At 36.4% G+C, this 15,477-nt stretch overlaps 1 protein-coding gene and 1 pseudogene across 1 annotated transcript; one reads left to right on the top strand and one right to left on the bottom strand.

Annotated features, from left to right (window-relative positions):
* Positions 1 to 4,304: 4,304 nt before the first annotated feature.
* OR10A5 (olfactory receptor family 10 subfamily A member 5) lies at positions 4,305 to 5,258 on the bottom strand. Its single transcript, NM_178168.1, has one exon. The coding sequence runs from the start codon at positions 5,256 to 5,258 to the stop codon at positions 4,305 to 4,307; it is 954 nt and encodes a 317-aa protein (NP_835462.1).
* On the top strand, positions 6,262 to 7,657 carry LOC100131597 (phosphorylated adaptor for RNA export pseudogene; annotated as a pseudogene).

Raw genomic sequence — 15,477 nt, 5'->3', positions numbered from 1 at the left:
ATAATAATAAAAAATTTAAAAAAACTCAAAAGAATATTAAAAAAAATAAAAATAAATAAATAAATAAATAAATGGCAGTTTCCCCTGGGCTTTTCTCTCTCTCTTCCCTGCCACAATATAAGATATGCCTGCTTCCTCTTCCACCATGATTGCAAGTTTCCTGAGGCCTCTCCAGCCATGTGGAACTGTGAGTCATTTAAACCTTTTTCCTCTGTAAATTACTCAGTCTCAGGAAGTTCCTTATAGCAGTGTGGAAATGGACTAGTGCACTATTGCGTGCAGTTTAAACTCCAAAATCTTTAACATGCTCAAAAGGAATTCCTCTATGACCTGACCTCTGTCTACCTATCAAGCCATTTTTCACCTTTCTTTCCCATGTTTACAACATTTCAGCAAATATCGGTGTTCTTGTACTTTCAGAATGCACCAAGTTCTTCCTCGCCTGGGACTTCTGTGATCTTTTTCAGTCTAGAATGCCATTTTCCTACCTCTTAACCTAGTTGCAAAAATTAGCTTACATATCATCATCTAAGGAACGCTTAAATATTATTTTGTTATGATTTGCGTTGTTATTCCTTTTTTCCCTCTAGGGCAATTTTCACAACTTTTAATTTTATAAGTATAGGGCCACTTATTTAAATACTACCCAGTACATCTAGAACTTGCTCAAAGCCAAATGTCAGAATAAATACCTTACCATTTTAAGTTATTTATAAAATTTAGAGCAACCCAGTTGGATGAATTGCAATTGTGTTGACATGTTTTGAAGATTCCTGTGAAGTTGATAATTTTCTATTCTCTCTTCATGGTAATAAGTACAGTATTGTTAACTTTCTGAAAACTTTAAAACCATTAAATTTTAAGTTTCTTAGTGTTATCTAGAATTCCTAAGCATATTCTTATGAATATTATAACTATATGTAAGAGTATATTGATGTTTCCAGTTAGTAGGAGAAATAACATATTTTTAAATAAATTATGTTAGGACAATAAGGCCAGCTATTGGAGAAAAAAAAAATACCTCCTACCAGATAAATTCCACATTGCAAAAAGATTTAAATATTAAACAATGAAAGTAAAGAAGCATTAATAGAAGTAATAAAATACTATTTTTGTAGACCCAAGTATGACACCTAAGCCTGAGGAATAAAATATTACCAAAAGCAAAGTTAAGAGAGAAATGACAACATGTTAGGCTATTCTTGGGTTTCTATAAAGAAATAGATAAGACTGTGTAATTTACAAAGAAAAGGAGTTTAATTGGCTGATGTTTCTGCAGGCTGTACAAGCATGGTGCTGGCATCTGCTCAGCTTCTGGAAAGGCCTCAGGGAGCTTTTACTCATGGTCAAAGGTGAAGCAGGAGCAGGCATATTGCATGGCTGGAGCGGACGCAAGAGATGTGTGGAGCGGTATCACACACTTTTAAACAACCAGATCTCATGAAACTTACTCACTATCATGAGGATAGCACAAAACCCTAAGGAATCCACCCCTGTGACCCAAACACCTCCTATTAGGCCCTACCTCCAACACTGGGGATTATAATTCAGCATGAGATTTAGAGGGATTTCAACATGAGATTGTGAGAAAAACATGAGATCTGAGGGGTCAGGGGAGGAATAATATAGATGTCCAACTGTATTATTCCTCCCCTGACCCCTCAGATCTCATGTTTTTCTCACATCACAAAATACAATCATGCCTTCTCAATAGTCCTCCAAAAGTCTCAATTCATTTTAGCCTCAGTCACATGTCCAAAGTCTCAAGTACAGAGTCTCATTTGGAGGTGATTTCCTTCCAGTCATGAACCTGTAAAATCAAAACAAGGTATTTATTTTCAAGATACAATGGTGGTACAGGCAATTGGTAAATATTTCCACTCCAAAGGGGTGAAATGGGCCAAAAGGAAGAGGATACAGGCCCCATGCAAGTCTGAAACCCAGGAGGGCAGTCATTAAATCTTAAAGCTCCAAAATAATCTCTTTTGATGCCATGTCCCACATCCAGGGTTCATTGGTGTGAGGGGCAGGCTCCCAAGGCTTTGGGCAGTTCTGTTTCTGTGCTTTTCCAGGTGTGGGATGCAGGATGCTGGTGGATCTATCCTTCTGGGGTCTGGTAGATGGTGGCTCCCTTCCGACAGCTCCATTAGGGAATTCCCCAGTGAGGACTCTGTATGGGGCCTCCAACCCCACATTTTCCTTCAGCACTTCCCTAGTAGAGGTTCTCTGTGAGGGTTCTACCCCTGCAGCAGGATGCTGCCTGGGTACCCAGGTTTTCTTGTACAGCTTCTGAAATCTAGGTGGAGGTTGCCAAGCCTCTTTCACTCTTGTACTGTGTTCCTGCCAGCTTAACACCAAATGGAAGCCACCAACACTTTTGGCCTGTGCCTTCTGGAGTGGTGGCCCAAGGTGTACCTTGGCCCCTTTGAGCCCCAGCTGGAACCAGAGCAGCCTAGATGTGGAGAGCAGTATCCTGAGGCTGCACAGGGCAATGAGGCCCTGGTCCTGGACCCAAAAACCATTCTTCCCTCGTAGACCTCTGGGCCTATGATGAGAGTTGTTGTCACAGAGGTATTTGAAATTCTTTCAAGACTTTTTCCCCATTGTCTTGGCTATTAGCACTTGGCTTCATTTTTAGTTATGTAAATCTCTCTAGCAAATTGCTGCTCCAAAGCCTGCTTGGATTCTTCTCCTGAAAATGGGCTTTTATTTTCTACCACATGGCCAGGCTGTAAATTTTCCAAACTTTTACGCTCTGCTTCTCCTTGAAATATAAATTCCAACTTTAAATCATTTATTTGCTCCCATATCCTACCATAGGTTGTTAGATGCAGCCTGATCACATCTTGAACACTTTGCTGCTTAGATATTTCCTCCACCAGGTACCCTAAATTATCACTCTGCAGTTCAAACTTCCACAGATCCCTAGGGCATGAACAGAATGCAGCCAAGATCTTTGCCAAGGCATAACACGTGTGACTTTTGCTCCAGTTCCCAATAAGCTTCTCATTTCCTTCTGAGACCTCAGCAGCCTGGCCTTCACCATCCATATCACTATTGGCATTTTGGTCACCACCATTTAAGTGGTCTCTAAAGTTCCAAACTTTCCCTCATCTTTCTGTCTTTTTTGAGCCCCCCCAAACTTCCCAACCTCTTCCCGTTACCCAGTTCCAAAGTTACTTCCATATTTTCAGGTATCTTTATAGCAATGCCCCACTGCCAGTACCAATTTTCTGTTAGGCCATTCTTGCGTTGCTATAAAGAAATCCCTGACAGTGGGCAATTTATAAAGAAAAAGGATTTCATTGACTCATGGTTCTGATGGCTATTAAAGCATGGCACTGGCATCTGCTTGGCTTCTGGGGAGGAAGAACTTGAATCTTACTTTGCTTAATTGTAAAATGAATTTGCTTTTACAAATCCCCCATTGTTGACTAAATTATTAACTTCTGATGGCAATGATTGTGCTTTATGATATTTTGTATTTTCATATCAACAATATATAAAAACTTAAAATTTAAAGGCACTAAGCAAATATTAGGAGTCAGCTAAGATCCACTGTAAGCCTTGAAAAAAGCAGCATTATGATTGAAATTATGTTTGTGAAATTTTGAAATTACTTTAACAAGGATTAAGAACCTGAAACTGAATTTGCAAGAGACAATTGGAAATAGCTTATTCTACCTAGGAAGAATAGCCTAAGGAAGGAGTCTTTTAAGGCTATTGGGCTTATAAAGGAATATGTATGGGGATTAGTGATCCTATTTTCTCTATCCATGCTAAATATCAACAAACATAAAAGCCAACACTTCCTTAGGGGCATGTAAAATGAAATGAAGAGCAAGAATTATGTACTAGAAGTATTATAGGGTTTTCTACTGAATGGTGTCAGAATTTTCCAAACCAAGATGATGGCCAAGATGACATTTGATACTTCTCATTGTCTTGCCCATTGTGTATCCCCAAAGTCATATTACAAGTAGTTTCAGATTGTCCACAATATATGTCACATTTGTGCTCATTAGCAAAGTAAATATCTCGAATGGTTTGGCCACAGAAGTCTCAAAGTGCCAATTGCACCAATAAGAAAAACAGAGTAAGTCTACGATGGGCAGGTAAAGAAATTTAGCAGATGATAATGACAGGTTTACACCAACACTGGGCTCTCTTCTCTCCACAGAGCTTTCCAATAGCCATTTCAATAGCTGGGTTTCATTCCAACAGATATGTGAAGAGAGGCAGAGAGGTGTCCCAAACATGAAACTAATTGTCATTCAATAGAATTTAGCCTTACTTCCTAAGGTCTATGGGATACAGTTTCTGAGGGCTAGGACCTTGTGGAAGGTCCTGCTGAGGGCATTCTTCACCTCGCTATTTCTCAAGCTGTAGATAATGGGGTTCAACATGGGAGTCACAACAGTGTAGGATAATGATAACAACTTCTTGCTCTCAGGAGAATTATTTGATTTAGGCCAGAAGTAGGTGAGGCTAGAAGATATATAGAAAAGAGAGACAACAAGGAGGTGTGAGGAGCACGTAGAGAAGGCTTTATGCTTCCCTTTAGCTGATGGGATCTTGAGGATAGCAGCAGCAATGCGAGTATAGGAACACAAGATCAGCAAGCAGGGGATCATGACCACCAGAATGGTTCCGACGATGGCGTAGATCTCAAACAGTGCTGTGTCTGCACAGACCAGCTTCAGCACAGGCGGGCTGTCACAGAAGAAGTGGTTCACCTTGTTGGTGCCACAGAATGGAAAACTGAAGAGCCATGTGGTCTGCACAGTAGCTACAGGAAAGCCTGGGAACCAGGAAGCAGCAGCCAGTTTGGCCCGTGTCCTTTGGTTCATGATGACTGGGTAGTGCAAGGGACTGCAGATGGCCACATAGCGGTCATATGCCATGGTAGCCAGGAGGAAGCATTCAGCTACCCCAAAGAAGAAGAAGAAATACATCTGAGTGGCACAGCCAAGGAAGGAGATGGTTGTGTCCTGGGCAAGCAGGGTCCCCAGCATTTTGGGCACAATGACTAGGTTGAAGCCAATCTCCAGGAAAGATAAGTTTCTGAGGAAGAAGTACATGGGGCTGTGTAGCATGGGGTCAGCTAGGGTAACCAGAATGATGAGGCTGTTTCCCTTCAGAGTAACCAAATAGATAGTTAGAAATGTCAGGAAGAGCAATGACTGTATTTCAGTAGGTAGGGAAGAGAAGCTCATGAGGATAAATTCACTTATTTCTGTCCAGTTTCCTATAGCCATAAGTATGGGCATAAATCCCCAGCTGTGGTCCTGGAGAGAGATTCTTGATTGGAAGTCAGATTCTCAATCTGTTTTTCAGATTTTCTCTTAATGTCAGGGATAGAGGCAAGGTCAGCACCTCAGCTGGAAGAGGAAGGGTCTTGTGTTGGCTAAGAATAAAGACACAATAAAACGTGGTCAGAACCTAAGCAGTGAAATGAGCAATAGGTCACCTTTCTCCTCTCTTTTACGTTCCATTTTATATCTTGTTAGCCTATTTACTAAAACAAATCTGATCTTGTATCGTATTTTATTTTGAAGTTATTCAAAGTAGAAATAATAGAGGGGAATGGATGAGTGAGAATGTTTATAGGGTGTGGTTGTTTTAATGCACTTTCCCCCTCACTCACCGTAAGAATTGTAGACCACTTCAAATCACGTAATACTTATTCTTTCTTGCCAAATCAGACTGTGGGAAACAATGTTAGCAGTTTCCTCTTTGGTCCAGCATATCTATAATTGGCAACTGATTCTTAGTACCTGCATAATCCACTGACTCTCAAAATTAAGATCGGAGAGGAGTATTGTACTACAATTCTGTGGAAAGTGACTGTGTCCAAGGAGATTCTGACTACTTCCCTTTCAAGAACAGGAAAATTGGAAAAAATAAAACAGACTCCCACAAAAAAAAACTATAAAAAATATAAGAAACATTAGAGTGAAGTTTCAAAGGAAAACATTCATGGATAAAAAGTTATGAAACGAGATAGAATCTTAAATGATATAAAAGGAAAGTCTGTATTTATTCAATTTCTATGGCAGCACTGATGATACAATGATTATTCACTGAAGCTTAGAATTTAATAGATAAAATATTTAAATAATCAATTATAACACATCACAATGAAAGTCAAAATACAAAAATACATAGTACCTTAAAGGGGCACAGGGACACATAACATCATCTTTAAAGGCTTTCTAGGCAACAGAGATGAAAATAATGTTGGCTAAAATATAGGCATAGGCACCACGGGAAGATGGTGTTGGAGGCCAGCGACATGGAAGATGGGCAGCTTTCCAACCTGACTCAGATTCCGACATAATGGTCACACCCAGCAACAGGCTGCAGCAAGTGTGGAAAGTGCTAGGTGGGGACAGTGCTTATAAGGGCCTTCCAGAGCAGGGCGACTGCATGTGCACCAGTATCACATTACCGAGTTGTTGAAAGTGTGGATTCAAGTGAAGAGAGTTTTTCTGATTCAGATGATGATAGCTGTCTTTGGAAGTGGAAGTGATGGAAATATGTAAACTCTCCTCCCAAACCAGAGTCTTTTCAGTTTGGCCAGAGCAGTCAGAAACCACCTGTTTCTGGAGGAAAGAAGGTTAACAACATATGGGGTGCTGTACTGCAGGAACAGAATTAAGATGCAGTGGCCACTGAACTTGGTATCTTGGGAATGGAGGGCACTATTGACAGAAGCAGACAATCCGAGACCTATGATTGTTTGCTTGCTAAGAAACTTAAGAGGGAATCTCTAGAGCATACGAAAGGGCTAGACAAACAACTAGCTGAATATATGCATGGTGGCAAAAACAAACAAACAAAAAAATGGGATCAAAGGAAGAGGAAAAGGGGCAAGGTCATCTCAAAAGGAAATGACCTGTCAAAGACAGGCTAGGGAACAGACCAGAACCAAAAATGAACTATAAAGGTTGATACGAGATCACAGAGGAAGATTCCCAAGAGAAAGTGGCTGATGAAATGTTATTCAGGTTACAGGAACCAAAGAAAGATCCGATGGCTCAAGCAGTGAGGATTATTGGGAACAAAAGGCAATTGTTCTGCTGGAAACTGCTGAAGTAGAACAAAATGGTGGCCTCTTTATAATGAATAGTAGTTGAAGAGAACACCAGGTGGAGATTTTCTGAATCTCTTGAAAAACACTCCTAGTATCAGCAAGGAACAAATTAAGGATGTTTTCTACATAGAAAATCAAAAGGAATATGAAAATTAAAAAGCTGCTAGGAAGAGAACACAATGAAAAAATGAAATAAGCTATTAAAAGTCTAAATTTTCAAGATGATGATATATCATGAGAAACTTTTACAAGTGACAAAAATGAGGCCCTGGCCTCTCTTGATAAGTCACAGGAAGGACATGGAGAAGCCAAGCTGGATGTCGAGGAAGCCATTGAAGTTGATCATTCTCATAATTTGGATTTTTTAAGTACATTTTCGATAGTTTAAGGAATAAGCCGTTCTAAAATAACATTGTAATAAACAATTTTTACTAAAATTGCAATATTTTGCACTGATTAACATGAGAATCTGGAGGAAAGAGAATTGTTTTCTTGTTTTAAATAAAAACTGATATATGCAGCAAAAGGAATGCAATTGATAGAAACATTTAAATATATATCATGTCTGACAAAATACTTACGAGTATATAGCACAGGATTTAATTTCTCAATCGGTTGCATATTCTAATTATTGTATTACTAGTTAATAATCAGTTTTGTCCAGGTCACTATAACATATTATTAAAAAGTTTATTTGCCTTTTCTAATTTATCTTTGCAGTAAATTATGCTTTGGCTTTAAAACTTCCTATTAAAAGATCATAATGAGACATACAAATTATTAAACTGTCACAAATGCATTCAAATTTGTTTGTTCTGTGTTCTAAGAACTCAGGCAATTTTAATGATAAAGACTAAAATTAAAAGAGGTTTATACTGACAGCTCTTCCCACTTATTTGTTTGTCCAGAAGTAAATAAATGTCAGAAGTTTTTCAAATAACTATTTGTACTTTTTTTTTTTTTGAGACAGAGACTCGGTCTGTTGCCCAGGGGGGAGAGCAGTGGCGCAATCTCAGCTCACTGCAACCTCTGCCCACCAAGTTTAAGCAATCTCATGCCTCAGCCTCCCAGGTAGCTGGGATCACGGGCGCCCCACCATGCCTAACTACTTTTTGTATTTTTAATAGAGACAAAGTTTTGCCATGTTGGCCAGGCTAGTCTAGAACTCCTGGCTTCGGGTGGTCCACTTGCCTTGGCCTCCCAAAGTGCTGGGATTACAGTCGTGAGCCACCACAACCAGTCTATTTGTTCTTAAATTTAATGTGTTTTTTGACTTCTTAATTAACTTGGCCATATACTAAATGTGATCTATACTGTGTATTACCACATACATTTAAAAAAATTTCCCAGGCCAGGAGTGGTGGCTCACACTTGTAATCTCAACATTTTGGGAGGCTGAGATGGGAGGATTGCTTGAGCCCAGGAGTTCGAGATCAACCTGGGCAACATGGTGAGACCCTGCCTCTAATTTAAAAAAAAAAAAAAAAAAACCAGTGGCAGCCTGCCTGAGACTGTTTTACCTTATGTTAAGGAAGTTGGGTATTTAAAATGTTACATGTGCATGGAGTTTTAAATTACTCATTTTTATTAATGAAAATAAAGGTAGCTTGCTTTAGACATTCTGAGAGTTAACTATAGTTTACAAAACATATTAAGCAAAAATATGCTTAATACATTAAGCAGAAATTTTGTATGTTAAGCAAAAATGTAAAATTCAGTAATTATAAACTATTCCTTACAAACAACATACTTGAAGTCTTTCAGTAGTTCCTGAAAATATGGTCATCAAAGTTAAGAGGAAAATGATTATCAGTTGCTTTTTTTTATAAAGAATGCAAAAATAAAATTAGATTTTGGGCAGTCCTTTAAAAAATAGGCATAAACAGGATGCTATATGTAATTATGAAAGTATTGTAATGAAACTGAACTGCAATAGCAGAAACAAAACTTTTACTGAAAACAGTAAAGAATGGATTTGACTCTGACTCTGCCTAAAATAGAAAACTTACATGGAAAGGCTTGAAGTGCTCTCCTATAAGATGCAGAAAATGGGGAAATAGATGAATATAAGATAAAAATTAAAAATTAAAAGCAGAAAACAGTCTAACAAATAATTAATGTCCCTGAAAAAGTGAGCCAAACAAATGGAGCTGGAATAATAAATAGTAAGAAAGATAATGAAGATGTTACTAAGCAAAGAGAAATCAATTAGATAATAGCAAGAACTCATGAAGCAACAGGCAAAATCAAAGAATGACTAACAACCAGTGTGCCCCCATGAACAGTTTGGTTTCCAAGAATATATTCAAAACATTGCAGAATCTATGCAGAAAAAAATATTTCTTAAAATAATACATATCACACTGAAATTGGACTGCTCTGTGGCACTAACAAGTAAAAAACCAAAATTTATAATTTTGAGGAAAATATTGGAGATTTTAGCAAGTGTAATGCTCAAGCTCTCTCTCTTTCTCCCTCTGTCTCTCACACACAGGCATGCACACACACACACACAAAGAAACCTATAAAATTTTGAATAAAACAAAAGGATCAATGATATTAGTAAACACAGTATATCAATTAGAAACTGCTGTTTTATTATAAGACGATCTAGACTTTTGTACTTCAGAATAAACGGTAAAGTCATGGGAGATAGGAATGTAACAATTTAAACTAATGGGACATATCTAAGATATCAAAGGAGATGGCCCTCTTCTGAAAAAAAAAGTAAGTAATAGGAAAAACATGTAAACATCTGTTATCTGTACTACCAACAGCATAAAACAAAATACTGTTGAATAGGTAGTCATAAATATGTTCAATATATTGTAAGAAAAATACACCTGGAAATAAAACAATTCATTAGGAAATTAAGACTGTGAAAAACAGTCCTGGATACTGAAGGAAACTGAATTAAGAGAATGTTTGAGAAATTGAGGAATACTATGAAATGATAAAAATTATAGAGTAAATAAAAAATTCAGGAAATAAAAATAGATAAATTTCTAGGAACATAGAATGGCAGATCAAAGTAGAGAAATGATAGACAAAATGCTAGCAAAAAATAAAAATTATTGAGCTAATAATTTTAAACTTAAAGTATTTCTTACTATACAACAAAATTTATGGAAATATGCTCAATAATATCTTAATCACTGTTCTAGTTTCCTTTTAATTTTGAGGGTAGAGAAAACTTTAAGTGGCCTGGCACGGTGGCTCACGCCTGTCATCCCAGCACTTTGGGAGGCCAAGACGGGCAGATCACAAGGTCAGGAGATCCAGACCATCCTGGCTAACACGGTGAAACCCCGTCTCTACTAAAAATACAAAAAATTAGCCGGCATGGTGGCACACACCTGTAATCCCAGCTACCCAGGAGGCTGAGGCAGGAGAATCACTTGAACCTGGGAGGCAGAGGTTGCAGTGAACCGAGATGGTGCCACTGCACTCCAGCCTGGGCGACAGAGCGAGACTCTGTCTCAAAAAAAAAAAAAAAAAAAATTAAGTAAACATAAATTGTTGGAAAATCTGATGAAGAAATAATGGAGGAAACAAAAATATGTAATTTAGGAATAAATTATGTCAATCTCAGATACGGAATGAAACTTTTAAAATTATAAGCAAATACTACTATATTAATAAATGTCTGATTTTTAAAATGAAATGCTTTCTAGTAGTATGTAAGGTTCAGCCTTGAATAAAACAGATAAAAAATGAGTGGTTTGAAGTAATTTTATCAAAAGATTACAATGAAAAAGGTCATTAACATGGATAGTTTAATGGATGAGGTAATTTATTCCTTCAGGGAACAGGTAAATCTTGTGATTTATCTTTAGATGAACTGTTTCAGAACAAAGAAGAAGATGCAGTGTTTTCCGATTAATATTATGACAATTACCTATACCTGTTTTCAAAGCAGCAAATATAATACACACACAAAAAAGCTCAAAGACCAATCTGACTTGTAAATATAAGTGCAAAATTGAGAAATAAAATGCAGTCATTTTAAATCCAAAACTATATATGTATGGCCAAGTAGGATTTATTACAGGAATGCAAATACTGTTTGTGATTAAGAAATAATCAAATATAATTTATATCATCATTTCAATAAAAAAAAGTTAACCTCAGTAAATCCTAAAACTGTTTGAAAGTTCAACACTTATCTGTAAAAAAAAATCCAGCACAGCAAAGTTTTATAACTTTTGAAGAGAAAACCACTCTCTTAATGAAACGTGAATATTATATAAACAATAGCCAGTTCTGAGATTAGTAGTATAATAATAGAGCAATGGTTCTGAGAATTGGGGGATTATGGAACCCTTTTACAATCTGACAACAGTCATGAACTCTTTCTCCTCCCAAATGTACATATATCCATATGTACAAAATTTTACATATAATTTTTGGGCATTTATGGATATTCTGAAGATCATAGATATTGTTGAAATTTTAATCCCACTATTGGTTTAAAAATTCTGGCCAAAGTAATAATAATAATAAACAAGGTATAAACATTGGAAAAGAAAACAGGGGTGCTGGGTATGGTGGCTCACGCCTGTAATACTAGCACTTTGGGAGGCCGAGGCGGGCGGATTGCCTGAGCTCAGGAGTTGAAAACGAGCCTGGGCAACACAGTGAAACCCCATCTCTACTAAAAATACAGAAAAAAAAAATAACCGGGTGTGGCAGCATGAGCTTGCAGTCCCAGCTACTCGGGAGGCTGAGGCAAGAGAATTGCTTGAATCCAGGAGATGGAGGTTGCAGTGAACCGAGATCGCGCCACTGCACTCCAGCCTGGGCGACAGAGTGAGACTCCATCTCCAAAAAAAAAAAAAGAAAGAAAAAAGGAATACAGAATTATTACTTTCAGAAGAAAAGTTGTTCAATGACAGAAAACTAAGTTGTTCAAGTAATACAACGTATTTTAAGAATGAATATTTTTCTTATATACAAGGAAAAAACAGTCAAAAAATAAATTTCATGTTATCAATAAAATTCAAAAATTTTGAAATAAACATATCAGGAAATAATTAGTATCCTATTTAAAATAATCAAAGCCCTTATGAAATGTCATAATCTAATCTTGAACAAATTTAGTGTCATACTGTGTTTATGACTACAGAAATAGTTTTATAAACATAAAAATTTTTGTCAAATTATTAAAAATATTTAAAGTAATTCCAAAATTTAAAAGTTCCTGTTTGTGACCATATGTTAAAATACTTTGTAACTTTTTAATATTTTATTACATTATTTATAACATGAAAATATTACATAGTATCTCTACACATACTTTAAGTATATTATATTTGTATTAGACAAGTCATGGAAACATAATGAAGGCCAGAAATAGTGTACATACAAGAAAACTACAATAAAGAGCTCTGGGGCAATGCAAAAACAAGCCCAGTTAAACTCTCACCTTTTATCATAAAGAATTACATTCAATATAGATGATGATTTAAATGTTGAAATTAAGCTTTAGTTGAGTGTGAAGAAAATATGTTTATATTTTATTACATATGTTTGTGGTCTTTCTAAGCAGTATACCAAAACAAAATTCCTGAAGAAAAAAGATGATTGAAAAAGAAAAGAAAAGAAAAAAGATGATTGATTAGCCCAAATAAAAATTAAATGATTTTAAACATAAAAATCCAAAATTTAAAAAAATTAAATTAAAATACGAAAATGTCTTAAGATATATGGCAAAAGATTCCTACAGATTTTCAAAGAGTAGAAATTTAGGTAGAGGGGGCATAAAAGCCGACATAGACCAGTGGAACAGAGAAACCAGAAATAAATTCACACATATATAGTCAACCAATATTCAACAAGTGTGCCAAGAACACATAATAGAGAAAAGGATAATCTCTTCAACAAATGATTTTGGGAAAACTGAATATTCATATGCAAAATCATGAAATTTTCTTTTAGCTTTTATTATACCACACACAATAATCAACTCAAAATGAATTAAAAATTTAAATATAAGAACTGAAGCTACCCAGCTCTTTGGGAGGCCAAGGTGGGCAGATCACCAAGGCCAGGAGTTCAAGACCAGCCTGGCCAATATGGCGAAACCCTATCTTTCCTAAAAAGACAAAAATTAGCCAGGTGTGGTAGCACATGCCTGTAATCCCAGCTATTTGGGAGGCTGAGCCAGGAGAATCACTTGAACCTGGGAGGTGGAGGTTGCGGTGAGCCGAGATTGCCCCATTGAACTCCAGCCTGGGCAGCAAGAATGAAACTTAATCTCAAAAACAAAACAAAACAGAAAACTGAAACTACAAAACCCCTGGAAAAAAACATAGAGAAATAGCCTTATGACATTGGGTCTGGCAACGATTTTTTGGATATGGCACCAAAATCACAAGCAATAAAAGCAAAATTTAGCAAGCGGGACAACAAGCTAAAAAGCTTCTACGCAGCAAAGTCAATAGAGTGAAGAGACAACCTACAGAATGTAAGTAAATATTTGCAAACCATATATCTGATAAGAGATTAATACCCCAAATATATAATAAATGCCTACAACTCAGTAGCCAAGAAAATAAGTAAGCTGATTTTAAAATGGACAACAGACTTGAATTGATATTTCTTTAAGAAGACATACAAATGGCCAACAGGCAATGAAAAGATGCTCCACATCAGTAGTCATCAGGGAAATGCCAAGCAGAACCAGAGTGAGTTATCACCTCACACCTGTCAGGATGGCTATTATCAAATAAATAAACCCAACAGACAAAAACAAAGAAACAAAACAAAGCAAGTCTTAGCGAGGATGTAGAGACATTGGAACCCTTGTGCACTGTTGGTGGGAATGTAACATGTTGCAGCCACTGCAGAAAAAACTATGGAGGATCCTCCAGAAATTAAAAATACATCCAACAATCCTGCTTTTAGAAATATATCCAAAGGAACTGATATCAGGATTTTGAAGTGATATGTGCACTCCCATGCTCACTGCAACATTGTTCACAATAGCCAAGATATTAAAACAACCTAAACATTCACTGACAGATTAGTGAATAAAGAAAATGTGGTATATAACTACAATGGAATATTATTTAGCCTTAAAAGAAGAAAGCCTGCTGTATGCAACAACAGGGATAAGTGTGGAGAAGATTATACTAGGTGAAACAAGCCAGTCATTGAAGGACAGTGCATGATTCCACTTATATGAGGTATCTAAAATAATCCATCTTACAGAAACAGAATGTACAGTGGTGTATATTAGGTTCTGGGGAGAGGGTAAAAGTCAGGAGTTGCTTTCCAAGGGTGTAAAGTTTCGGTTGGGCAAGATGAATAAGTTCTAGAGGTCTGCTGTGCAACATGGTACCTATAGTTAACAATACAGTACTGTGTACTCAAAATTTTTTGAAGTGAGTAGATCCATGTTTTAAGTGTTCTTTACACACACACACATATGCACAAGCAAAAGGCACAATGATTTCACATATAAGTGTGTTCAATGTTGCATCATTATAGTATCAAAATTGTGTCAATAATCTACAAATGATTGGGTCAATTATGACCCAAGCATTTAAGGAAATGTCATGTAATCATATAAGTCATTTTTAAAGAACATTACCACTATTGAATAATACTCACCAGGTAATAGTAAATGGAAAAAAACACAAAAATACATATGATTACATGTAAAATTCCAAACTCATCAATATGTGCATAGCAATATGCAAATTTTTAGGAATAGTCACTTTGAAGTGGTAGGAAGAGAGATGGGACTATCTCCTTAATTTTGCTTTCTGGGTTTTCAAGCATTCTAAAATGAGCTACACATATTATATAGCAGTAATAAAAGCAGTAATAATAAAAATAAAAATTATGACCTCAAGTTGGAAGCATTTGCCTAATATATAATAGAATTATGCTACGTATGTTACTTTTTCCTTTTTCACATTCTTCTTACAATAACTGTCCAATCTAGACGCTATTATTATTCTCCCCTTATTGCCACTCGATGAACTGAACTTTAGATACATTATGTAATTTGTTAGTTAAAGAATTTGGTAACTTGTTTACATGGGCAGTAAAAGGCAGAGTCTGCATTCAAAACCATAATCAGAAAAAATATAATAAAGGCAACACCTGGGTTTTTAGAAAGATATGCAATATGAATACAACATATTCCTTAGGTCTCATTTTTTTGTCCCTTTGTCATCCAGGTACCTTAATCTTCACCAATGCTGAGGATAAACATATTTGTTTGTTATTGAACACATTACTTCTTTTCATGATTCTATACCAGGAGTTGGAAAACTTTTTCTGTAAAAGGCCAGACATAAAATATTTCATGCTTGTGGACCATGTGATCTCTGTCATAACTATTCAATACCTAGACAAACACACACACACAC

The sequence above is a fragment of the Homo sapiens genome, chromosome 11 (genome assembly GCF_000001405.40).
Source record: "Homo sapiens chromosome 11, GRCh38.p14 Primary Assembly".
Lineage (NCBI taxonomy): Eukaryota > Metazoa > Chordata > Mammalia > Primates > Hominidae > Homo > Homo sapiens.
Note: the sequence above shows the minus strand (reverse complement) of the source record. Positions and strands in the feature narration are given on the sequence as shown.